The 25,023-nt window shown below is 49.3% G+C and overlaps 1 protein-coding gene across 24 annotated transcripts in view, besides 7 other annotated features; it reads left to right on the top strand.

The window, feature by feature from the left end:
- Window positions 2,866-3,412: an enhancer, noted in NCBI's record as "H3K4me1 hESC enhancer chr15:64342658-64343204 (GRCh37/hg19 assembly coordinates)". NCBI's record gives its function as "activates a minimal SCP1, AML or CMV promoter by ChIP-STARR-seq in primed H9 embryonic stem cells {active_cell/tissue: H9 hESC(primed)}" and the evidence as "EXISTENCE:reporter gene assay evidence [ECO:0000049][PMID:30033119]".
- Window positions 7,213-7,422: a silencer, noted in NCBI's record as "silent region_6527". NCBI's record gives its function as "represses an Ori minimal core promoter by ATAC-STARR-seq in GM12878 lymphoblastoid cells {active_cell/tissue: GM12878}" and the evidence as "EXISTENCE:reporter gene assay evidence [ECO:0000049][PMID:35858748]".
- Window positions 7,386-25,023, top strand: part of DAPK2 (death associated protein kinase 2) — a 139,450-nt gene continuing 121,812 nt past the window's right edge. For 22 of the 24 annotated variants that reach the window (NR_169523.1, NR_169524.1, NR_169522.1 and 19 more), the window contains exons 1-2: window positions 7,386-7,573; window positions 13,604-13,701. Coding sequence is in view for 11 of the 24 variants with exons in the window: in NM_001384999.1 (NP_001371928.1) it covers window positions 13,610-13,701 (92 nt within the window). In the remaining 13 variants the exon portion in view is untranslated. Of the gene's footprint in view, window positions 7,574-12,347; window positions 12,410-13,603; window positions 13,702-25,023 lie in introns of all 24 variants that reach the window. The other 2 variants (NM_001395290.1, NM_001385000.1) reach the window with 2 other exon arrangements.
- Window positions 7,443-7,502: a silencer, noted in NCBI's record as "silent region_6526". NCBI's record gives its function as "represses an Ori minimal core promoter by ATAC-STARR-seq in GM12878 lymphoblastoid cells {active_cell/tissue: GM12878}" and the evidence as "EXISTENCE:reporter gene assay evidence [ECO:0000049][PMID:35858748]".
- Window positions 7,533-7,752: a silencer, noted in NCBI's record as "silent region_6525". NCBI's record gives its function as "represses an Ori minimal core promoter by ATAC-STARR-seq in GM12878 lymphoblastoid cells {active_cell/tissue: GM12878}" and the evidence as "EXISTENCE:reporter gene assay evidence [ECO:0000049][PMID:35858748]".
- Window positions 8,953-9,002: an enhancer, noted in NCBI's record as "active region_9550". NCBI's record gives its function as "activates an Ori minimal core promoter by ATAC-STARR-seq in GM12878 lymphoblastoid cells {active_cell/tissue: GM12878}" and the evidence as "EXISTENCE:reporter gene assay evidence [ECO:0000049][PMID:35858748]".
- Window positions 9,053-9,102: an enhancer, noted in NCBI's record as "active region_9549". NCBI's record gives its function as "activates an Ori minimal core promoter by ATAC-STARR-seq in GM12878 lymphoblastoid cells {active_cell/tissue: GM12878}" and the evidence as "EXISTENCE:reporter gene assay evidence [ECO:0000049][PMID:35858748]".
- Window positions 14,651-15,152: an enhancer, noted in NCBI's record as "NANOG hESC enhancer chr15:64330918-64331419 (GRCh37/hg19 assembly coordinates)". NCBI's record gives its function as "activates a minimal SCP1, AML or CMV promoter by ChIP-STARR-seq in primed H9 embryonic stem cells {active_cell/tissue: H9 hESC(primed)}" and the evidence as "EXISTENCE:reporter gene assay evidence [ECO:0000049][PMID:30033119]".

Below are 25,023 nucleotides of genomic sequence, written 5' to 3'. Positions count from 1 at the left end.
GGTTCAAACGATTCTTCTGCCTCAGCCTTCTGAGTAGCTGGGACTACAGGCGCACCATGCCCGGCTAACTTTTGTATTTTTAGTAGAGATGGGGTTTCACCATATTGGCCAGGCTGATCGCGAGCTCCTGACCTCGTGATCTGCCCACCTTGGCCTCCCAAAGTGCTGGGATTACAAGGCGTGAGCCACCGCGCCTGGCCACTTAATTCTTATACTTTTCCCCAACCCCATCCTTCTCTCTATTGAGACAAGACAAAAATCTATTGTTCACATGATGATGACATGTAAATATTATTCACTGCTCAAAGCTGAGCCATAGTGTATTATGATGACATTTCCTTACTTATACACCTTTTTGTTTTTTTCTAGAAATAATAATCACTTTATTTATTCATTTAATTTTTCTATGTACTTACAATAAATTCATCCCCAAACTTTCCTCTCAAAGAGTGCCACTCAGTAGGTGAAAACAGATTGCTTGATGTATGAAGTTCACTTTTTTCTTGGAGACATTGCCCCTGGAGCCTGCTGTGCCCCTGGGCTGTCGGGTCTGATTGCTCTCTAGGCCTGCTGTACGCCAGGCTTCCCTTCCCCGGGAGTCTGGGAATTCTGTCCACCTTTCTCCTGTGTTGGAAGCTCTATGATGAGGTGGATTACTCTGGGTGTGAAAGAAGATGTATGGCTCCTGGCCCTTCAGCATTGAGCACATTCTCGTGTCTCCCAGTATCATTCAGGTTCTTGCCAACTCAGCACAAAAGGTGTGCTGGAGGGTGAGAGGGACACAGCATCAATGAAGCTGGAGCAGCAGGAACCAAAGGGGCTCCAGAGGCTGGAAAAATCATCTGTCCAGGAGGCCTCGCCTGCTGCTGACCCCACTGTGAACATCTTGGCATTACTTATTTGGGATTCAAAGTGCTGGGCAGAAATATCTGATTGGCCATGCCTAAGTCTTATGGACACGAGGAAGGAAGATTTCCTCCCTTCAACTCTTTTTTTTAGAGACAGGGTGTTGCCGCTGTGTCACCCAGGCTGGAGTGCAGTGGAGCAATCTTAGCTCACTGCAGCCTCGACCTCCCAGGTTTAAGCGATCCCGCTGCCTCAGCATGCCACCAGGCCTGGATAATTTTTGTATTTTCTTTTATAGAGACGGGGTTTCGCTCTGTTGCCCAGACTGGTCTTGACATCCTGCGTGCAAGCAGTCTGCCTGTCTTGGCCTCCCAAAGTGCCTCCATGCCTGGCCTCCCTTCAACTTTGGTGGTGAGGGATGGTGCATTATATCCACTTACACAGCCACCATAGTTATTTCCTCCCAGATAGGAAGCAGGGATTGGAAACTGGGCAGCAAAACTAAATGTAAATATCCATCATGCTCTTTGATTGAATCTGTTTCCCCATCTATATAATTTTTAAAAATTCATATTGGTCTCAAAAATGCATTCAGCTTGAGGATTAAATGAGATAATTAGAAAACAGCACAGTGCCTTGGCTCATGATAAATTCTCTACAAATTTTGATTTGATCTGGGTGGAAGGATGAAAATATTTTATGTAGTTGGAGTGATGGAAACCAAGGCTAAGAGGCCAAAAAAATCTCATGAAAGAGAAGGGCTGAGGGAGCCTGGAGTCCTTTATCTTGGAGAACAGATCTGGAGGGGGCAGAGCCGGGCCTAGTCCTGTTTGGGGCAGAGGCCACTATAGATGGTTGAACTTAGCCTCCTGTGTCTTTGTTTTCCTGGATGCAGCTGTTCATAACTGGGTCAGGACCTGGGCTCAGCTGAAATGGAGTCACCATGCAGGTCAGGGAGGGCAGAGCAGGGCCCCAGGCAGAGCAGGGCCCCAAGTGGGAGGACCAGCCCACACAGAGGTCAGAGCTCAGGCGGGGGTGTGGAAGGAGCTGCTGTCCTACCCATCCTTCCTGCATGGATCCACCAAAGGCCCCTGATGACTCCGACTACATCCCTGGCACAGAGTGGGGAGGGTGACAGGGGTCACTCAGGGGACCCATCAGCAAACACAGAAAGGTGAAATCATATCTTCAGCTCAGCAGATATGGCTGTGAATTCTTAACTAATGAGATCTAGGAAGAGGTCCTTTCCTCTGAGGAGTCTCCCTGCCCCCTGCCCACCTTCCAGGCACTCAGGGTCCACCCCTCCCATGTCTGGGCTCCTTCTGGGATCTGCCTAGCCCCTGATCTGGCCTCAGAACACAGGATTCCAGGCATTTTGTTCCCAGGGTATTTCCTCTGCTTGGCTCTGAGTTCCTGCAGGGCAGGGCCAGTGCCTCATTTCTTTCAGGGCCCAGCCCAGAGTCTGGCCCAATGGGCACCGAGAAAGGATTGAAGAATGAATGAAGTTGGAATTGAGCTGAACCTTGGATAGATAAAGGAGAAAAGAAGAAAGCATTTCAGAGACAGAGGCAGGAACAACATGGCTGGAAAGATAGGGCATACGTGACCGACTGTCTTGAGGGATGGAAGGATCTGGTTTGGGAGGGAGGTTGACATTTGTGCCAGTTCTCTCTCTCTCCCTCTTTATCTCTGTCTCTCTCAAACCTTTCCTATGGTCCTGAGCCAGTGCTCTCTCAAACATCTGCCACAGTGTTTGTGAGTCTGGTCCTCACATCAGCCCTGAGAAAAAGACGTAATTATTCCCATTTTACTGATGAGATAACAGAGGCTCAGAAAGTGGATGAGCAGGAATACAAATAGGCCTGTCTGATTCCCGAGCCTAAAGAAGAAGGTGGTTGGATGTTGTAGCCCTAAAGGTGGGTATAGTTTGAGGGGTCCTGGCCACACAATGTGTCACCAGCCTCTGTCCTGAATAGAAGGCAATGGCATATGCATGGGTCATGATCCCATAGCGTAGGCCCTGTGCTGGCTCAGGTGGAAATAGGGGCGGTGAATGACAAGTGGTTTCATACCTGCAGCCCTTTACATGCACAGCTGCTCACACCCCATGTGCCCTGCCTCCCTTGCCCCACTGTGGACTTTTCTGTTCTCCCGGTGATCCCTACTCTTCTTTCAAGTTTGAATCAAGCTTTCCTTTTCTCTGGAGGCTCCTTCTGGAGTAGATCTGACCTTTTATGGCATTGGGTCTTTATTTGCCCCTACTCCAGCACATAACCCCAGGAGGTACTATTGAATGTTTGCGGAGTAAAAGAGTGTGTACACATGTCCAGGAAATCCCCATCCCCCAGGTTCTCTAGAGAGAGGCAAGGCCTCCCATCCCCCAGCTCCTTCCTCCCTTCTCTCCTCCCCTTCCCTGCCCCATCCCTGTGGTGCTGAGTCCAGCAAGGCTAGAGGCTGAAGCAGCTGCCTCTGGCTGCAAGAACCAGTGCCCCCGGGGGTGGGGGGGGTAGCAGGAAAGGTTGCCAAACCAAGCCTGCTCCACACCTCCCATCTAGGAGGGCAGATGGCACAGGGCAGAGTGGGCATGGCTGGGAAGGGCTGAGAAGCCAGGCCACCAGGTCAGTTTGGGAAGAAGCAGCTTCCTGCCGGCCTTCCATCCAGTAGGCAAGCCCTCTGGGGAGGAATCACCTGTGCACTCCCTTGGCCGAGAGCCTGAGAGTCAGGACTTGACCCGTTGTCAAGAAGACTGCATTTCAGACTGCATTTGGCAATTCTCTGGGCCAGGCTAGGGGTGGGATGGGGCGCAGAGATGAATAAGATCCATTTCCTCCCCAGGGGAGCTTATTGCCAGACATTTAGGGAATAATAATAACAGTTAATAATCATTGCGGACTTTACCAAGTGCCAGACACTGATCGAATTGAAAAGTAACTGCATGCTCACAACAACCCAAGAGATAAATGCTACTATAAGCTCCATTTGACCTATGGGGATAATGAGGCACAGAGAGATCAAATAGCCTGCCCCAGACCACATGGCACGTAAGTTGCATGCTGGGATGCCTGAGTGTGGGCCCAGGCAGTCTGGCATCAGAGTCTCTGCATTTAGCCGTCACACTACACATGCTGTAAGCCAACCCAGGTGCCATCTGCCATGGCCAACATGCAGCATCTTAATCCCCACCTTGCCCCCTTGTCAGGAGGTTTTTAGGCTCTGTAAACTTGCCAGGCACCAAAGTATGCTTTAGGATATCACCATGACTAGTGCCCTTTGCTGCCTGCCATGGTTACATCTTTATCTATGGGCTTGTATTCTCATCCCTGGGAAGCACAGGTCCTGTGACTCTACCATCTCACAGTCCCTTGGAATGTCTTTTACAAAGCAGGTACTCAGATGTGTTTGTCATTGAGGGGGTTGAGAATTTCCCTAGGTCTCTGTGACATGAACAGACTGGGTCTCAACCTGTGCACTGGGAATCACCTGGGGAGTTTAACAAAAACTGATACCCAGAACTCATCCTCAGAGGTTCTGATGTAATTGATGTAGGGTGCAGTCTAAGCATGGGGGATTTTAAGCACCCCATGTTATTCTCAGTTATTCTGATGTACTGCCTGGACTGAAAAGTTCCAGATTAACACTGTTTTAGAAATCTTGGAAGTTTCAGTTGAGGGAAGGCAGCAGAGGGAATAGCTTCAGAGACCAGTAGGCAAGATTCATGTCACAGCTCAGCCACTTACAAATTGGATGAGTTTGAGCAAATCAAATTTCTCAAGCCTCAGTTACATCATCTGTAAAAGAGGATAATGACATCCCCCTAGAAGTGAAGCACTTGAAGTAAGATTATTGAGCATCTACTAAGTGCCAGGTGCTTGGGTGCTCTTAGGGGACAATAGAAAACAAGACAGCTATGGCCCCTTGTGATATTTACCTTCCTTAATTCAGTTTAAGAAACCTTTACTGGGTTTGGGATATCAAGCACTGTATGGGTTCAAAGATGGACAAGAAATTGTACTTGCCCTTGAGAAAAGGAGAAGTAGACACTAATTAAAATAGAGGAAGGAAGATGACAAGAGATGTACCAACCAAGAGTGGTGAGGTTCAAAGGAGAGAGGTATTTAGAGGGCAGACCAGGGAAGTTTCTGTGGAAGACATGATACTTTAGAAGGCTCTTAGAGGATAGATAAGATTTTGTAGAATGGGATGAAGGGTAGTGGAAACGAACAAAAGCATGGAGGCAGGAACAGCCAATAATCCAACCTGGCAAAAGAGCTGGATGTGCATGCAGAGGAGGGAAGGGAATGTGCATACACAGCAGGAAAATAAGGGTTGGGGCCTTAAATGCTAGGGTGAGGCATTAACACTCGATTTGGTCAGCCATGGGAACCATGCAGGGACTGGAACTGAGTTGGATAATTCTTAGCTCTTAATACCTGGACTGCCTCTGGCTTCATTCTGGAATTTGTGTCTTCATTGCCACTGTCCTCGGGGCCTCCCCTTTTCTGCTGATGGCCACCTTGGTCCTGTGTTCAGTGCCCTGTCGCTGCCCTCAGGTGAGGGTCTGATGAACTCACCCAACCTTAAGCATAAGATGCATCTCCAGATGGTAGCTTCCTAGATAGTTGCATTCTGGCAGGTACAGTGGAAGGGGCACCAGACTGAATCTGGAGGAGGCCTGGTTCTAATCCTAGCTCTGTCTCTCACCAGCTATGTGATGTTGGGCAAGTCACCTCCCTTCTCCGAGCCTCAGTTTCCTCATCTGAAAAGTGGCCAGGGTCAATTGACAATGACCCTTCCAGCTGCAATGGACTCTGACTAACTTGTCAATTGCTAAACCCAAGAATGTCTCTTTTGACTCATGTAAGGGGCTGCTGCTGCTGACAATGAGGTATTAAGCATGAGGCTCAAGGGAAAGAGATGGAGAGGCCACATGTAGGTGATCAGCAGGGTCAGCTGAGCCCAGCCTTGGATTCATCACAGCCCAGGTACTGGGTATGAGAATGGAGAAATCTCCAGATGATTTCAGCCCCCAGCTATTCAGGTGTTCCCAGTTGAAATCCCAGACACTGCAGAGCAGAAATAAGCCATACACACTGTGCTGTCTGAACTTCTGTCCCTCAGAATGCATGAACATAGTGAAACTGTTGTCCTGTGCCACCAAGGCTGGTAATGGTTTGTCACCAGTGATAGGTAAATGGAAATGGAGGAAGAGGTGTTTAGGGATAGTTTGGTGGGGGACTTCTCATGTTGGTGAAACTTCACCAGTGGGTGTCATTCCCTTAGGTCCGTTGACATCAGAAACCACCTCTAGTCTTGGATATTACTCTATATATCATGCTGCTCTTAGGAGAGGAGGCTCGCTGGCTGCACTGTTCTGAATTATTGTGAAGTTTATAAACAAGGAACTCTTTGCCGAGGATGTCCTGGACCCGGAGGCACTGCTCAGCTGGGGGGTGGGGTCCATCTGTATTTGTCCCAATGTCCAAAAGGCTGAAGGGTGTGTGTGTGCTCACACTGGTAGAGGTCCTCTAGGTGCATCTTACACACTCCATCTCATCTCAGCCCCACCATAGCTTCATTAGGAGCTACCGGAAGGTGCGTTTCTCCCACTTTACTGATGAAGAAAGAGCCATGCCCAAGAACACACATGCGGAGTGGCAGGGCAGGGCTTTGAACCTGGTGGTAGGACTCTGAATCTAAGGCCCTTTTGAGGAGCCCCATGGGTGACTTAGGGATGGAAATTCCAGGGGTTGGAGGGGTCCTCATTTGCTTCCTCTAAACAGCCTCTTGTTTTGAAATAAGACAAATGAACTTGGCTTAAGTTCTGTTTTCCCTTCCTTCCTCCCTTCACCCCCTCACTCTCATTCCTTTTTTCCTCAGGGATTTTTTGGCAGAGGGCAGAGAGAGGAACCCATTCCCAAGTCCTCTATTAGAGAAGGCGTGATGGTGAGAGGGGGGCTTCACTCAGCAACCGTGCCAGGACAAAGGGCAAACGAGGGCAGGCCGCTCTCAGGCTGGGTCGGGGGCAGTGAGGAGCAGAGCGGCCCTTCTCATCGCAGCCCCCACCTTGCTGTACGCTGTGGGCTTGAGGTTTCCAGGAGAGTCTGCGGTGTAGGGAGCGCTCTGGCTGGGAGGGAGGAGACGGCCTATTCCTCAGTGGGGCTTCCTCGCTCACGGTGTGTATGGTGGGGAGAGGAGCACACAAGTACCATTTTCTGAGGATTGTGCCAGACCATGTCATACGTATAAGCTCATTCAAATCGATTTCCAGATAAGGCCGGGGGAGGGTAGCCGACTTGCCCAAGGCCACGCAGCATGTGCGCGGTAGAGCCGGTAGGGACGCGCAGAGGGTCTTGCTACCGACTCTCCCCGCTCTCCCGGGAGTCTGGGAGCCCTGAGGTGTCCCCTACCCGGCCGGGAAGCTGGGCTCTCGCCCCGGGACTGTCCGGAGGGGGCTCCAGCAGGGGGCGCCCCGAGCCCCGTCCCGGGCAGCCGGGCGCGCCTCCAGCCGGCGCCTGGGACGGGGCTGGCCGCTCCGCCCCCTCGGCTCCTAGGCTGCTCGGCGGGCGGGTGCCGGGCGCTCTGGGAGGAGAGGACTGCAGGGCCGAGCCCAGCGCACCCCGCCGCGTCCCCCGTTCCCGCCGCGCCCGCCGCGCCCGCCGCGCCCGCCGCGCCCGCCGCTCCCGCCGCGCCTGCCGCGGCCGCGACCGCGGCAGCTCAGCCTCCCGCCGTGAGTAGCACCCGTCTGCGGGCTCGATGGGCGGGACGGGGCGCGCGGCCTGACGGCAGCAGCGCCCGGGTCTGGGGCTGGCGGGGCGAAGAGATCCGGGGCACTCGCTCGCAGATCCCGGGCCCGCCGCCCCAATGCCTGACGCCGTGGCCCGGGGCATTGTGGCCGGCACCCGAGCGCGGGAGCTGCCCGCCGCTGCCCTGGGGCGCCCTCCGGAGCCTGGCACTTTGACCTGGGAGACAGGGTAGAGGCGGCGGGCAGAGCCAAGCACCCAGCAGGGAGATGGGAGACAGACGTCCATCGAGTTAGGCCCCCTGGAACGGGCAGAGCACGCCCGGCTCCCGGCCAAGTCTTCTCAGCTTGGGCTGACTCTCTCACCTCTTGCTCCCGCCTGGCACAAGGATGTGATGCGAGGAGGGTGCTCAGATGTCTGAGCTTCCTCTGGGGCTGAATGAAGCTGGGGTCCCCGCCGTCAGGCGCCCCGGCCTGGGGTAGAGCTAGGATGGGCGTGGGGGCGGCCAGCAGGTGTGCTGCAGGTTGGGGTGGAACGGCTTGGAAGGGCGTTGCCAACAGTTGACTAGGACTCTGGGCTAGGCATTTTGGAGGTCCCAAGGCTTGCATAGGTCTGGCTAACCCTCACCGTAACTCTGCACGGTGGAAATTGGTATTCTTACTTTACAAAAGAGAAAACAAGGTCCAGAGAGGTGAGCCTCGTTGAGGCCGTGCAGGTAATGGTAAGGCAGTGGTGCACACTGGAGGAGAGGGCACCATAGCTGGCTGCCTCGGGGGCAAGCGGGCAGGTGCAGGGACAGCGCCTGACATCTTGTATCCTGGAATCCTGTGGAGGGCAGCCACTCTGGTTTCTGACACTGCGACTCCCAACTGCCTCTGTGGAAGATATTCCTGGGAGAGTCCTGTTGACCTAAGAGGCCGTGGTGCCTTGGCCTCTTCACAGCTAACTTCACAGCCCTGTCCTTCCCCAAACCGCTCATCTCCCAAGATGTTTTTTGAGCACCCTCAAGTGGCACCACTGATGATTCAGCACCTTCAGAGGAGACTTGGGCAGAGGGGTCAGGGGTGTGTGGATGTGGCTGGAGGTCTGCTCCTCTGGGGTAAGTTCCTGGCTGGCAGGAATGAGACCCGCACTGACCCTGCCCACCTCCTTGAGGCCTCCCGATTTGTTAGCTGTGGGGTGAACAAGCAGGCTTCCCAAGGGAGCTGGATCTTTGCCAGAGAGACCAAGTTTTTCTTGTGTCAACTCAGGCAGGTGGCTGACCTTCTGTGGGCCCCAGCTTCCTCATTGGAGACTGTGATGGGTCAAAGCCTGGAATGTAGAGAGGAGCTCTGTAATGCCGGAGCCCCATCCCTTCTGTTGGCAGCCTCTCCAGAGCCTGAGTGTGATGATTCCTAATGGGGGTGTGTGTAATGAGACGGTCGTGTGTGTTTTGCCCAACCATTGCCTGCCCTCTTGCTGTGGTCCCGTTTCACTCACTTGCACTTGGTGAGGTGGGATGAGGAACTGAGAGAGTTCACTTTGCAGAGTGAGCTGGGCCAGTGGTGGAGAGGGCTTCTTGAGTGTTGAGAGTTTCCTATGAGGTGATCTTCCAGCCCTAGACACCTCCTCCTAGCTTGTCCCTCAGGAGGCCACTGACTTTGCCAACCCTGGTGACATCTTGGAGGAGTTGGGGTGGCTATCAACAGAAGAAGCCCTGGGAAGAGGAGCGGGATGGGTCACCTGTATGATGCTCAGTGAGTCCCTTCCCCTTTCTGGATCTCAGCTTCCTCTTGTAAAAACAAGTGGGTTAGACCAGACAGCAGTGGTTTTCAAACTTCTGTTTCACAGTGAATTCTTACCCAGAACGCCAACATATAGTATGGATAACGTGGAACTGCTCTGGCTTCCCCTTCTCACCCTGGTGATCCTGAAGCAGTTCTAAAAATCCCTAAATAGATGATCTATGGGGTTCTAGGAAATCTGTGGTAGCCCCCTGAAGTGTTGCCTGGTATTAGAGTTGTAGGCAGGAATTTGAATTCCAAGGACTCCATCAGGAGAAACATGGGCATTAAGGTGGGTATCATCCTGGGAGCATCTGGAGCTGATGGCCTGTGCTTCTGGCCAAAAGTTGTAACTGTGTCCCTTCCCTCTGCCATGTGATTTCAGCTTTTCGAGGCTGGAAAGGTCCTTGTGCCTCTGGCTCCTTATCTGGGTCCTAGCTGGTGACTATAATTCCACTTCAGTTTCACCCCTTTAGTTTGTTTCTAAACTGGTAAAATGCAAATTCGCCTTAGGAGAGGTGTTAGGAAAGTGCTTGAAGTGGCTATCAGTTGTTTTACCTGATGAGCATCTGAGTAGCGGCCTTGAGAAAGGAGGCTGGGGAACTAAGTTAAAATCAGCCAACACTTATATAGTGCCTACTGTGTACTAGCCTACGACAAGGGGACAGAGGTAGGAATGTCACAATTCTTGCCCTTATGGGGCTCCAAGTCACAAAGAGGAGGGAAGGAATTCACGTTATCCATGGACCGTTTAAAACATTACACATGGGTTATCTCATTTGTCTCACATTAGTCTCATTTTAAAAAATTATGTAAAATTTTGATCACATACAAAATCATCCCATATATCCATCTAACTACCACCCAGATCAGGAAACAACATTGCTGGCACTCTGAAGCCTCCGAAGCTCCCCTTCCAACTCTCCCCTGAGTGAGGGGATAGCCACTCTGCTGACATCTAGCACCATGCATTAATTTTACCTAAATGGGATCACACAGTATGCAGTCTTTTGTGTCTGTCTACTTTCATTCAACATTATGTTTCTGAGATTCATCCATGTTGTTGCAGGTAGCAGTAGTTTGTTAATTCTTATTGCTGTATAATGATTCCATTGTATGGGTATATAGTACCTCAATTTGTTTATCCAGTCTTCTATTGATAACCATTTGGTTGTTTCCAATTTTTAGTTATTACTAATAGTATTGCAGTGACCATTCTAACGTGGATCATTTGGGAAAACATCTGCATGCATTTCTCTTAGATATGTCCAAAGAAATTGCTGAACAGTTTTCCAAAGTGGTGGTCCCAGTGTATACCCCTCCCAGCAGTGTTTGAGAGCTCTAGTTGCCGCACATACTCACCAACACTAGACATTGTCTTACGTTCATTTTCCATGGAAGGAATGTGAAACTCAAAAGTTATCCTGTGCTCAGCTAAGACAATGTGCCAGTAAGTGACAGAGCTGGGATTTAAACCCAGGTCTGTGTGATGACTATGGAATCTATTCTCTCCCTCTGGGTTAGACATAAACATAAGCCAGAATATGATCAACTCGAACCCTAAAAAGGTATGAAGAGCACTCTGGGAGAACTTGAAGAGGTGGAGAATTGTCATCTGTTTTTGGGAGGGCAAGGATCATGGAGCCGCACAGAGACGGTAGCATTTGGCTGGGTCTTGTGGGAAGTGGGTAGTTATGCCCACTCTCCAGGGCTTTCCAGCTGGGCCTCCCCTGGCAAGGGCCCCACTTCAGCCGAGATATAGCAGGGATGAAAGTTTTAGGGGAATGGGAAAGGTCAACTTTGGCTGGAATATAGGATATATAAGGGAGGGGGCAAAGGCTGGAAAGATGAGCGAAAGCCTAACTGGTGGGCCTAGTTTGTCCCTAAGGGGCTCACCTGCCCCCCTAACCTTGGCCACCCAGGATATAGAGCCCAAGGCAGAGGCTCACCATTTTGCTGGGAACTGGGGCTTCTTTGAATCCTGCTCTCAGCAAATGGAGCTGGCCTCTCACCAAATGGGAGATCTTAGCTGTTCCTGGGACCACTCTCAGGGTTTCTGCCAACAGAATTTTTTTGGAGTTTCCTGCTTGCTTCTAGCTGTGTGAAATTGGTAACCCCACCCTGCAGGACCTGACCCAAATTGTTTATTTGGAAGGAATTTTTTTTTTCCATTGAAAAGAAGATGGTAGATAGCACTCCCTTTACTCCCTGGGCCAGTCTTGGGAGATTTGCCAGGATGTTGGGGATGAGGGGCGTCGAGCTTCTGATTATGGTCAAGCTAAACTTGCTAGAGGGCTCCCTGGCATGGGTTAAATCACAGTAATAATCATCTTTCTTATTTGTACAGTAGTTTATATCCTTATCCCCACATGGATGTGTGAAGTATGTGATATAGATAGTATCACTCTGTTTACAGGTGAGGGGATGAGTCCCAGAGAGGGTACCCACCTGCTGTGGGTCACAGGGCTAATATACACTCACGCTAGTCTGGAACTGGGGCTCCTGGAGCCTACTCTTTTCACTATTTCATGCTTGCTCCAGCCCTGGCCAAGCATGGAGGATGCATGAGGGAGCCTGGACACCCACAGGCAGGTGACCACGAGAGTAAGCCCTGGGAACCAGGCCAGCTCTGCCTGAGGGTCTTCAGGCTCTGTGTGCCTTGGTGGAAGGGAGAGAGGCAGGCGGCATCTTGGTAATGAAGCTCTGGTTTGCAGGGGGCTAAAGTGGTGGAAAGAGGGTGAAATGTATACACCCGCTGAGAGTTAGGACAGCTCCAGCCACTTGGCATTGATGAGATGTGCCCTTATATAATGGTGCCTCCACCCAGCCTGGTGAAAATAGTCTTTTGGGGTTCGTGGAGCCCATGTGTGGTTGGGATCTGATTGGCAGTCAGCAGAAAAGCTGCCAGTGCTAACCAAAATGAGCTCTGACAGGCCTTTGCTAAAGACCCTTGGAAGACACATCCACAGGCAGCTGGTTTTATTCTTGTGATTTGCAGACTGTGCCCTGCGCCCTGCTCTTGGGATGTTGTCCAGAGTGGCACATGGCTGTCAGGAATGGGTAAGCCTCTTGGGGCAGAGGGATCCCAGGAGACGATGCAGACAGTCTTTTCTGGTGGAGTGGTAAGTGCTCCCCATGGCTCAGAGTTGGGCTATGGCTTTCAGTGAGATGCCTGGGGCAGGCAGAGTTGGCTCAGTTTTACAGATGAGGACACTGAGGCCCTTCTGACAAGAAAGGAGATCACAGAGCTAGTTGTAGGCAAAGCTGGAACTAGCACCTCAGGCTCCTGACTCCTGGTGCCTGTAGGAATTTGCCTCACTCCTCCTGTCCATCTTTCCTTTGGGGTTGATGAGTGAGAGAGTTTACAGATTAGTTCAGACACGCAGTTGGGTGGTACAACACCTGAGGGAGCTGAGGTCATGATAATCCCTTACCTTTTAACAGCATTTTCTAGTTTACAAAATAATTTCATGACTTGAAGTTGATTTTACAGTATTAGCCCCATTTTACAGATGAAGAAGCTAAGTCTCTGGCAGCTTAGGTGGCTTACCCAAGCAAGACTGGGGCTTGTACCTAGGACTTCTGACTTTAAAGCTAGTGCTTTTTTTTTTTTTTTTTTTTTTTCTGTTGCCCAGGCTGGAGTGCAGTGGTGTGATCTTGGTTCACTGCAGCCTCTGCCTCCCGGGTTCAAGTGATTCTTCTGCCTCAGCCTCCTCCCAAGTAGCTGGGATTACAGATGCATGCCACCGTACCCGGCTAATTTTTGTATTTTTGGTAGAGATGGAGTTTCACCATGTTGGCCAGGCTGGTCTCGAACTGCTGACCTCAAGTAATCCACCCACCTCGGCCTCCCAAAGTGCTGGGATTACAGTTGTGAGCACCATGCCTGGCCATTTTTTTTTAAAAACTGTACAACAGCTGCCTCTTTTTGCAGTAGTTTTGAATTTAATGAAAACAAATAGCTGAAGTTCACCATGGATGTTTCTCTGAACTTCTTCAGACAGATCTGAAGACCTGAGGAGCTCTCCTTTCCTGTCTCCTTAACAAATTTGAATTCGTATAAATCAAATAAGAACCATACATCATCAGCTGCAGGTGAGAAAAGGCTTGAGCAGGGCAGTTCTTGAAGAACCAAGGCTGTGGATTATTACTAAATTATTAGCTCCCTTGCAGCCAATTACGTTTAGGCCTTAGACTCTTAGGCTTGTGCTAATTTGGATGGCTGTCCTAACCACAGGTTTCTTCCCATTTCAGGATTGTATGTTCCAGGCCTCAATGAGGAGTCCAAACATGGAGCCATTCAAGCAGCAGAAGGTGGAGGACTTTTATGACATCGGAGAGGAGCTGGGGAGGTAGGAGACTGTGTGAGAGGTGGGGGGATGCCGAGGGAGCCAAAGTCATGCTTCTTCTGGCACAGTTGTCAGTTGGTGTTGGAAGGCAGGGCCACAGGACCAGTGGGAAGCTTTAAAAATGAGCCTGAGGATTATTCACCTGCCTGGGTGACTTTGCACATGGTCATTGCTCTGGAAATAATGACTTGCCAGTAAAAGGGATGAGAATTGTTGAGTTCTGTGTTTTCAGCATAATCTAGCTGGCAGGGACAACCTTCATGATTCTTGTTTGATCTGTTACTTTTTTCATAAAGCTTCCCCAGGCTCTGGATGGAGACCTGACTTGTTGGTTTTCTTCTGAGTCTCACTTGGGATTCTCCATGGTTCCCAGGGTTTTGTTTTAAGCTCAGAACTTGAATGGGAGGTGAGGTAATCCTCCTGAGAATGGATTTATGTTGAGTAACCAGCCACACGAGCCCCATCATGAAGTTTTCCTGGGATCTTTGTTACTGGTGCATTTTCAGGTTTGCTGAGCCCAGAGCACAGCCAGGGTGAAAATCAGATCTGAAAGTACTATCGTTAGGATTTGGATAGAAATTAAGATTTTCTGAAGCTCTTTTCTTGCCTTCCATTTCTACCAGCTGCTAATATTTAGGTGGTAGTGTAGTGATTACAAAACACCAGTCATGAAGTTTGAGTCTCATAACAATGCATGAAATAGGCATTATTTTTACTCTCCTTTTCCAGATGAGGAAACTGTGGTCCAGCGTTTGGGCAAGTTGCCCAAAGTTGCTGAGCCAGTGAGTGACATAGCCAAGGTTCTGACCAGTCCATTTTGCACCTGCACACCTGTTATGCCCTCTCCCATGAGCTTGGCACTTGTACACTCACACATGCTCATCAGAGCACCTAGCCTCACCCCTTCACACACAGCGCAGCATGAAAACATGGGAATTTAGAGTGTGTAGACCCAGAAAATCTGAGACAGGTGTTAGTTAATTTAGAAAATTTATTTTGTCAAGATTGAGGACGCATGCCCATGACAGCCTCAGGACCTGTGCCCAAAGTTGTCACAGCACAGTTTGGTTGGAGACTGGAGACATCAATCAAATATGCAAGATGAACATTGGTTTGGTCTGGAAGGGCGGGACAACTCCAACTCTAAGCAAAGATGGGAAGGCTCTAATGGGGAGGGGGCTTCCAGGTCATAGGTAGATAAGAGACAGATGGTTGCATTCTTTTGAGTTTCTAATTAGCCTTTCTAAAGGAGGCAATCAGATATGCATTTATCTCAGTGAGCAGAGGGGTGACTTTGAATAGAATGGGAGGCAGGTTTGCCCTAAGCAGTTCCCAGCTTGACTTTTCCCTTTAGCTTAGGGATGTGGGGGCCCCAAGATTTATTTTCTTTTCACAAGTGTCTACTGTATCCAACAGGCAAAACAGGAGTTTTTTCCCTTTATAGAACTCTTATGTCAGGACTAATTGTCTTACTTTTTTTTTTTTTAAACTTTCAAAGATGAAACAGAGCTTCAAAGCCAGAAGAGCTTCACTCCAAAGAGAATGAAAGGCAGCAGGTGCTTCAAGATCAGGGAGTTAGTCCTGGCTGACTGGATGGTGGGTGGGGGAGCAAATAACTGCAGAGACCCCAGAGGGGAATGACTTTTCCCAGTCTTGGGCCTGGTGAAGGGGTAGGAAGAGGACATAGGACCAGAGGCTGGGGTTGGTCAGCTGGAGCCTGCCTCTGAATGGGAAGCCGGTTCTCTGTGCCTCAGGTTCTTCTCCTGCCCTTGGTGGCACCAGCAGAAAGATGCCATTCTCGGCAACAAACCACAGCCAGCCCTGCCAATGATGCTTGATTCAGTGCCCTCACTTGGCCATGTCCTGCATGCAGGGGTCTGTGCTGAGTACTGTGGGTACAAAGACGAGCAAGATGAGACAGTCTCTGCCCTCCTGGAGCTCCACCCTGGCAGTTACATACATGCTAACAAGGGCATTCTTGGATTGGACTAGAGTCTGGGTGGGCAGAGAAACTGAGAAGTTGTGGGGAGTGGGACTCTGAAGAAGGAAGTAGAAGCAGTTTCCTGGGGATTGCATTTATAATTCCTTCTTAGTCTTGTCTCTCCCTGACTCCATATATCAAGGACATGTGCTATTAGACCCGGAAGAGACCTCATGTTTCCTGGTCCTCCACTTGCAACAGGGTGTGGAGATCCCATGCAGCTCATAGCCTGGGGTGTCTTGGGGTGATTCTCACCTCCCCTACTCTTCTAAAGTGCTAATGGGGCAAAAGGTGAGTAAGCAGCAGGGGAGGCCCAGGGACTAGGGGCCAGGGGCCTTTGGAGTGGTCAGATGTCCTAGGATTTGTGGTCTAGGCCAGATGACCTAGAAGGCCTTTAGAGGTCCTCTCTTCCAGGCCTCTCACTTGACAGTTGAGGAAATGGAGGCTCAGAGAAGGGAAGGGTCTTGCCTGGGGCCACAGAACAGGCTAGAACTAGAGCTGCCTTTGAATGACCACTCAGCTTCTGAAGGGACAGTCCTATTCTTTTCTCCTGCCCTCCTGTTCTTCATTTAACGTATTCTTGAGGACCTACTGTGTGCCACGCACCATCCAAGCAGTGGAAAACAAAACAGACACAGTCCTGTCCTCTGGCAGTTTATGCTCCCCAGGCTGGTGGAGAAAGGCACTAGACAAGTGGATGCTAAAGGATAAATCACCATAAGGTGTGTTAAGGGCTAAGAAATGAGAGAAAAGGATGCCCTGCAAGGGATTGATGGGGCATGGGGATGTAATTCCATCTGGGTGGTTAGAGAAGATTGCTCTGAGGAAGTGACTGTTCATTTGAGAACTGAAGGGTAAATGCAAAAGCAAAGTCAGCAGCATGGATGAGCCCTGAAGTGGGGAAGTGCCTGGGACCTGGGGAACCCGCAGGAGGCCAGTGTGGCCTTGGAAAGCAGGCCGGGGCAAGCAGCGTTACATGAGGCTGGGGGCATGGGTGGGGACCAGATCCAGGTGGTGAATTCCCTGCCAACACAGAGTGGTGGAGAGGTTTGGCCTTTGGGGTCACATGGGTTGGGGTTTGGGTTCCTGTCCTAGCTGTGCAACATTAGACAACCTGCCCTCTCTGAGCCTCAGCTTTTTTACCTGTAAGACAGAAATAGTACCATTACCTAGCTCATGGTTGTGGGGATGAAATGAGATGCTGAGTCAGGAATCCCTCTCAGAGCTGGGCATGGGGTAAGTGTTCATGATCAAGAGCTTCTGGCCTTCAACAGTGAACAGATCGAGCCTTTGGAGTAGTTTTGGGGTGTCAAGGCCCCACCTTCTGCCTCTGCAGCCTTCTAGGAGGAAGGCATGGGACTGCAGGAAGAAGAGCAGGGGGATCATCCTGATGTCTGGAGAGCTCAATATAAACCTCTTTACTTGGCTGTCAGTGAGCACCCTAGTGTAGACTCAGGGCCCTCTCATTGATTTTAGCTCTTCATTAAGTCTTAACTATGCAAAAATGAAAATGAACAACAGTTTGTTACATGTAACAATGGATGAAGCTCAGACATGTAATGTTGAGCAAAGGAAGGCAGACTCAAAAGGGTCTGTACTGCTTTATTCCATTTGCAAAAGTTCAAAACGGCAAAAGGAATCAGTGGTGCCAGAAGTCTGAATGGTGGTTATCCTTTGGGGACTAGTGACTGGAAGGGGGCACAAAAGGGATTTCTGGGGTGCTGTATTCTGTTTCTTGATCTGGGTGTCTGTTTCACAGATGTGTTCATTTTATGAGTATTTATATGAAGACATGCATGCATATGGGCATTTTCCTGTTTATTAGACCTTAACTAAAATATATATATATATATGTATATATATATATATATACATATATATACACACACACACACACACACACACACACACACACACATATATATATATTTTGAGATGGAGTTTCACTCTGTCGCCAGGTTGGAGTGCAGTGGTGAGATCTCGGCTCACTGCAACCTCCATCTCCCAGGTTCAAGCTATTCTCCTGCCTCAGCCTCCTGAGTAGCTGGGACTACAGGTGCGTGCTACCATGTCTGGCTAATTTTTGTATTTTTAGTAGATATGGGGTTTCACCATGCTGGCCAGGATGGTCTCGATCTCTTGACCTTGTGATCCTCCCCCCAAAAAATAAATAACCTTTAACTCTACTTCTTGCCCTGGCCTGGTCCACATGTTTCTGATTCCTTTAGAGGCTTTGTCTATCCTTATCCTATGAGTAAGAGCATCTCTGTAGGAAAAGCTTTGGATGGAAACAGGATACCCTGGCTGGAGCATCCTGCACTCTGCTGGGACCCTCCCTGGCCCTGCATATTTTGCCTGATTTCTAGCTTCCAGCGCTGAGTGCAGGCAGTTGGCTGTGCTCACACTTTTGGCACCAGCCTGTTTGGGATGCTGGAGGTTGTCTGCTGTTTCTAGGAGTGTTTGGAGAAATATTGGCTTGCAGAAATGTTTGGCATCTCCCAGCCTTGGTAGCAATCAGTAGAGCAGAGCAGGGAAATATCAGAGCAGGGCTCATAAAGAGAAACTCATCCAACTCCTCATTTTGTAGATGAGGCTAAGGCCAGAGAGGAGAAGAGGTGAACTGGTGATAGAACCAGGGTGGGGTCTGGTGGTCTGACTCCTAGCCCAGGACTCTGGCTACCGCATCATAAGGACCCACAAAACACAAAGTCATTACTTCCTTTAATCGGAATGCTTCTGAGGAGTGGGAAAGAATATAAGGGAAGGAAGTCTTTTCTGTTTGTACTCGAGGGTAGTGTAGCATGGTCAAAGTTAGAAGGATGAGCCTTTGGGAAGGAGTGATGTTTCCCAGGAGGAGGGTGCTAGTAGATAGGCCCAGTGATGGTTTTGTGAACTTCCACATAGACAACTACTGCATGCACAATGTTATAAAGTAATTTAACGTAAGCAGCATATAATGAAGAGTGATTCCTTGTTTCCTATCCTTTGATTACTTTCCTTTACTTAGATGATTTTTTTTTTTTTGAGATGGAGCCTCATTCTGTCGCCCAGGCTGGAGTGCAGTTGCATGATCTCAGCTCACTGCAACCTCTGCCTACCGGGTTCAAGCGATTCTCCTGCCTCAGCCTCCCGAGTAGCTAGGATTACAGGCACACGCCACCATGCCTGGCTAATTTTTGTACTTTTAGTAGAGATGGGGTTTCACCATGTTGGCCAGGTTCATCTCAAACTCCTGACCTTAGGTTATCTGCCTGCCTCGGCCTCCCGAAGTGCTGGGATTACAGGAGTGAGCCATCACACCTGACCAGATTTTCTTTACTTATATTATATTAACATAAAATCATAAGATGTTTCTGTTGAGCTGGATTTCAACAAAAATTTAATCCAAATCTACCATTTTATAGATGAGGAAAGTGAGGCCCAGAGAGGGGAGGTGATTTGTTTAAGGTCATAAACAAGCATTGGAGGAAGTGGAACTCAAAGGCAGAAACTTCTCGACTACCGACTACCGTGCTGGTTTAAACAAACAAACGAACAAACAGATAAGAACTTATTTAAATCTACATCCAACCTTTATCCATAGCCCCCACTTCTCTTAAGGATCTTACCTTACCATTACTCCACATATCACCTCTGCCCTGAAGAAGACAGCAACCATATAATTGCTACCACTTAGAGGAGGCTCATGTATGCAAGACACCCTGCCAGACACCCAACCTGCAGTCTCCTTGCCTGGGGATGAGAGACTTCGGCGGGGGAAGGAGCCTCTGCACTAAACCCTCAGCCTGCCTGAATGTGGACAAAGATTCCCTGGGGCAGCCATGTTGATGGGGGCAGGGGGTAGACAGACTGGAGTCTCCCAATGGGATCATCTGTGGTTAGGATCAGCCACCGCACATTCAGCTTAGCCAGGACACCTTCTTTGGGGAAAGAAACAACATCCTCTAGGAAATGTGTGAAGTTTAAATTTACCCAGGCTGGTTCAATAGCCCAGTCTAGCCACACTGGGCACTATAGAAAACAACAAACATAGGTGTTCGATTTACTCATCTCAGCCCTTGGCAAAAGAGCTCCTAAGACTAACCCTGAAGCAAGGGGGCTTTTATGATCCTTTTAAATTAAAAAGATGTTTGTTTATTATAGAAGTTATTCGAGGTGAATGTCATAAAGTTATGAAGAGTATAAAGTAAAAAGTAGAACTCCCTCTGCCCTCTCGCTGAGTCTCACACCCCACAGGTAGACTTTGATGGTCATTTTCTCTCCTTTTTTTTTTTTTTGAGACAGAGTCTCACTCTGTCGCCCAGGCTGGAGTGCAGTGGCGCCATCTCGGCTCACTGCAAGCTCTGCCTCCCGGGTTCACGGTTCACACCATTCTTCTGCCTCAGCCTCCAGAGTAGCTGGGACTATAAGCGCCCGCCACCACACCCACCTAATTTTTTATATTTTTAGTAGAGACGGGGTTTCACCGTGTTAGCCAGGATGGTCTCCATCTCCTGACCTCGTGATCCACCCGCCTCGGCCTCCCAAAGTGTTGGGATTACAGGCGTGAGCCACTGTGCCCAGCGATGGTCATTTTCTTCTGTCACCATTCAGAACCTTTTTAAGTTAAGCAAGTGTGTGTGTGGACAGAGGGGACCACACGACCATAACAGTCAACAACTTGCTTTTCTCACTTAACGAAATCTGTTGAGTATCTTTTTATAGCAGTGCAGGTAGATCTGTGAGACTTATTTTGGGTCAATGGTTTTTTAAATTAATAAATTTAAGGCCAGGTGCCGTGGATCATGCCTGTAATCCCAGCACTTTCGGAGGCCGAGGCGGGTGGATCACCAGGTCAGGAGTTAACCCAGCAGCTATTTTTTTTTTCCTTCCTTCCTTCCTTCCTTCCTTCCTTCCTTCCTTCCCCCTTCCCCCTTCCCCCTCCCCCTCCCCCTCCCCAGGGGTCTCTCTGTTACTCAGGCTGGAGTGCAGTGGTTCAGTCATGGCTCATTGCAGCCTCGACCTCCTGGGCTCAAGCAATCGTCCCACCTCAGCCTTCCAAGTAGCTGGAACCACAGGCATGTGCCACCATGCCCAGCTAATTTATTTATTTACTTATTTATTTTTGAGATGGAGTCTCGCTCTGTCACCCAGGCTGGAGTGCAGTGGTGCTATCTTGGCTCACTGCAACCTCCACCTCCTGGGTTCAAGCAATTCTCGTGCCTCAGCCTCCCAAGTAGCTGGGATTACAGGTGTGCACGATCATGCCCGGCTACTTTTTTTATTTTTAGTAGAGATGGGGTTTCACTATGTTGGCCAGGCTGGTCTTGAACTCCTGACCTCAGGTGATCCACCCACCTCAGCCTTCCAAAATGCTGGGATTACAGTCATGAACCACCACGCCCACCTAATTTTTAAATTTTTTGTAGGGACAGGGTTTCGCCATGTTACCCAGGCTGGTCTTGAACTCCTGGGTTCAAGCAATCCTCCTGTTTTGGCCTCCCAAAGTGCTGGGATTATAGGTGTAAACCACCACGCCTGGCTATTTTTATTTCTGAATCTTGCCTACTAATCTTTGCAGGGGTATTTTTCATACCCACAGACTTCCTGCTCTTTGCAACTACTGTGGCACACGTACTTGCATGTAGTTCACATTCCCCCAAGTGCTAAGCAGGGGCAGGTTGGAGAGGCTGGGGCGAGCAGCACTAATGGCCGTATGAGATGAGGCTTATCTGGCACTTGTTTATCAACTCTTTGAAAGCAGGTTCAGAGCTGTTCTCCTATTTGGAATATCACTGCAGCACTGAGACAGAGGCCAGAGGCCCACAAAACGTATATGACTTATCTTTGCTCTTGCTGTTTCCTCACTCTTGGAAAAATTATGCTTTTTCTTCAAGGTCCAGATCAAACACGGTGACTCTGACAAAACCTGCCATGCCCTGCCCCATCCACCCCACTCCCTTCTGTCAGATTTAATTCCCTCTTATTCTGGACCACGTCTCTGATCATACCTCATGTTACACATAGGGTTTTCCCGGTCGTCCTCCCTGCTGGACTGAAGGTTTCCAGGCTGGGCTCCTGTGTACATCAGCTTTTATCTGTCCGTCTCCTCTACTGTGGTGTCCAGCCCAGGCCTTTTATACTTGATAAGTGCTTAACACCTACAGATACTCATAAGTTAACTGCAGAGCATCTGGGATCTGCCTTGAGTTAAATTTAAACCTAAGGCAGAATACCTCAGCCAAGCAAGCTCACAGCCCCCATAAGCCCTGGAATTCATGAATGTCCAGGATTCCCCAAACACAAAGTGGGAAACAAAACACAAAAATTACTTCCATTTACCGGACATACATTATTGAGTTTAATTCTCATAACACCCTGTGAAGTAGTTGTTCCCATTTTATAGATGAAAAAACTCAGTCTCGAAAATTTTAGGTAACTGGTTCAAGAAATACAAACCTACCTTATCAAGGAGATGCCAAGTGGGAAATTCTACTCTGTGTGACACAGAAAATCTCAAAGAATGTCGGAAATAAAAGCCAGAAACTTCCTCTGGGCAAAGCCCTCTTCACTACCCTGGCCTGGGATTTTTGTGCCTCTCTGATCATACACATGCTTGCTTGTATTTCTTGCTGCTGGGAAAGTGAAAACGATTGACATATGTTAAGAATCTACTGTTGGGGCAGGCATGGTGGCTGACGCTTGTAATCCCAACACTTTGGGAGGACGAGGTGGGAGGATTGCTTGAGCCCAGGAGTTTGAGACCAGTCAGGGCAACATATGTGAAACTCTGTCTCTACAAAACATGAAGAATTAGCCAAGTGTGGTGGCACACGCCTGTAGTCCCAGCTACTTGGGAGGATGAGATGGGAGGATTGCTTGAGCATGGGAAGTTGAAGCTGCAGTGAGCTGTGATTGCACCACTACACTCCTGCCTGGGCGACAGAGCAAGACCCTGTCTCAAAAAAAAAAAAAAGAAAATCTGCCCTCCTGTGAGTATCTGTGCTGAGTACTTCCTGCCCTTTCAGAACAATTGGACTTGGATCACATTCCCATTTCCCAGGTGAGGACAATGAGGCTCAGAGAAGTTAAATAAAGTATTCATGGTCACACACTTTAAACAAGGCAGTCAGGATTCCATCCTAGCTCTGTCAGATTACAAAGCTCATACTGTTTCTATTATACTATGCAAATTCCGTGTGTGTGTGTGTGTGTGTGTGTGTGTGTGTGTGTATGTGTGTATTTTGAGACAGGGTCTTGCTCTGTTGCCCAGGCTGGAATGCAATGGCGCAACCACAGCTCACTGCAGCTTCAAGCTCCCCGGCTCCAGCATCCTCCCGCCTCAGCTTCCTGAGTAGCTAGGGCTATAGGCATGTGCCCTAGACTTTGATAATTTTAAAATTTTTTGTAGAGACGGGTGTCTTACTGTATTGCCCAGGCTGATCTTGACCTCCTGGCCTCAAGCGCTCTTTTCGCCTCAGCCTAATTCTATAATTTAATAAAAATCAATCCAGGAGATTCTTCAGAGGTCATCTATTCTAGTAAAGGCCCAGGGCTCAGGGTGGTTGAGGGCGAGTAGGGGTAGGGGATCAAAGAGTTTGTCAGTAAAAGGGGCTGGAAGGGGAGGAAGGGAGACAGGGCAGATATATCCATTCTCTGCATAGGGCAGCAGTGAGGACCATACCAGGCCACCAAATTCCCTTGGTGGGATTCCATCCTGCAGCCTTGATGAGGTTCTTAAACCCATGAGACTTGTAGCCACAGGACTATGGCCCAGTTCAGGGTTGGAGAGTGGCCACAAACAGGAGAGGCAGGTGAGGGGAGCCAGCAGCCCTGTCAACATCTAGGTGCAAGGGTATCATATTTACATCATCTTTGATCTTGTCAACACCACAACAGACTTTGGTTTTTGGTTTTTGGTTTTTGAGATGGATTTTTGCTCTGTTGCCCAGGCTGGAGTGCAGTGGCGTCATCTCGACTCACTGCAACCTCTGCCTCCTGGGTTCAAGCGATTCTCCTGCCTCAGCCTCCCCAGTAGCTGGGGCTATAGGCACCCGCCACTCACAGCTAATATTTGTATTTTTTAATAGAGACCGGGTTCCACCATGTTGGCCAGGCTGGTTTCCAACTCCTGACCTCATGTGATCTGCCCTCCTCGGCCTCCCAAAGTGCTGGGATTGCAGGCGTGAGCCATTGCGTGCAGCCATACAGCAGACTTTAGAGAGAGGGGTGTCAGAGAGGGGCTCCCTACACCAGTCCTCCTGAGGGGGGTAGGGAACTGTGAGCTGGCCGGATGCAAAACGGTATAGTACAGTGGTCTCTTGTAACTCAGGCTGTAGACTGAGAGCAAAATGAACTTGGTTAAAAGCAAGAAAGCCTCCTCCACCACAGCAGCACCCTAGACAAGCTGGTGGTTTCTAAAAGGTAAGTGGGTGTGTGTGGATGTGTGTGTGTGAAGGAGCTTATGAGTATGTGCATGTCTGTACTGTATGTAGGTCACTATCACAGTTAACAATAAATATTCTTGGGCACCCACTGTGTGTTGGGGAGGAGACTTAGGGCTTAGACCTTGCCCCAGAAGAGCTAAGGCTCAGATGGGGCACAGGAGTACTCTCCTCCTTAGCAAATGAAATGAGATGTACCTAGACTATGTGCTAATAGTGGGACCCAAAAACACATTCCAGGAGATCGGAGGAGGAAGCTATCACCCTGGGCGCGGCAGGGTCTAATCCAGGAGATAGGCCGGTAACTACCTCAAGGGTGAGGGCTCTGCCACGACCAAGGAGCAGAGGCCCAGGCTTGGGCAAGAGGGCATGTGGAGAAGGTGAAGGGATGGGGCTGCCAGGAGGACTGATGACTACAAGGGGCCCTGGGTGGCAGAGGCTGTGGATGAGAGAGGGAGGCACTTTCATCACCCATTGTTAGGAAAACAAAGCACAAAGCCACTCAGACAAAGTGGCCGCATTGCACACGCTTGAGTTAGAAGCTCAGCACACAGTGCAAATCGCTTGCCCTAAGGGTAGGTCTCATTGAGCTCTGTCTGCATTATGGAAACTGTAAGAGCTGGGGGCGGGGGGCAGTACTTATGTGGGGGAAATGGAAACCACCATGGGCCTGTATCTTCTGGATATCCTTGCTTTTCTACTTATTTATTGCCAGTGTGTACATTTTGTGTTGGATTGTTGTTTTTTGACTCCATGTTGTTTTTAAATATGTACCTTTCCACATATCCAGAGTTCATATACTTAAAAATATTTTTGTTTTGAAATAATTTGAAATGTGATAAAAAAAAGTTGTAAGAATAACAAAAGTCCCATATACCCTTGACCTATGTATACCAGTTTATAACATTTTGTCATTTCTCT

The sequence above is a fragment of the Homo sapiens genome, chromosome 15 (genome assembly GCF_000001405.40).
Source record: "Homo sapiens chromosome 15, GRCh38.p14 Primary Assembly".
NCBI lineage: Eukaryota > Metazoa > Chordata > Mammalia > Primates > Hominidae > Homo > Homo sapiens.
The sequence above is the reverse complement of the archived record's forward strand: the minus strand, read 5'-3'. Positions and strand labels throughout refer to the sequence as shown.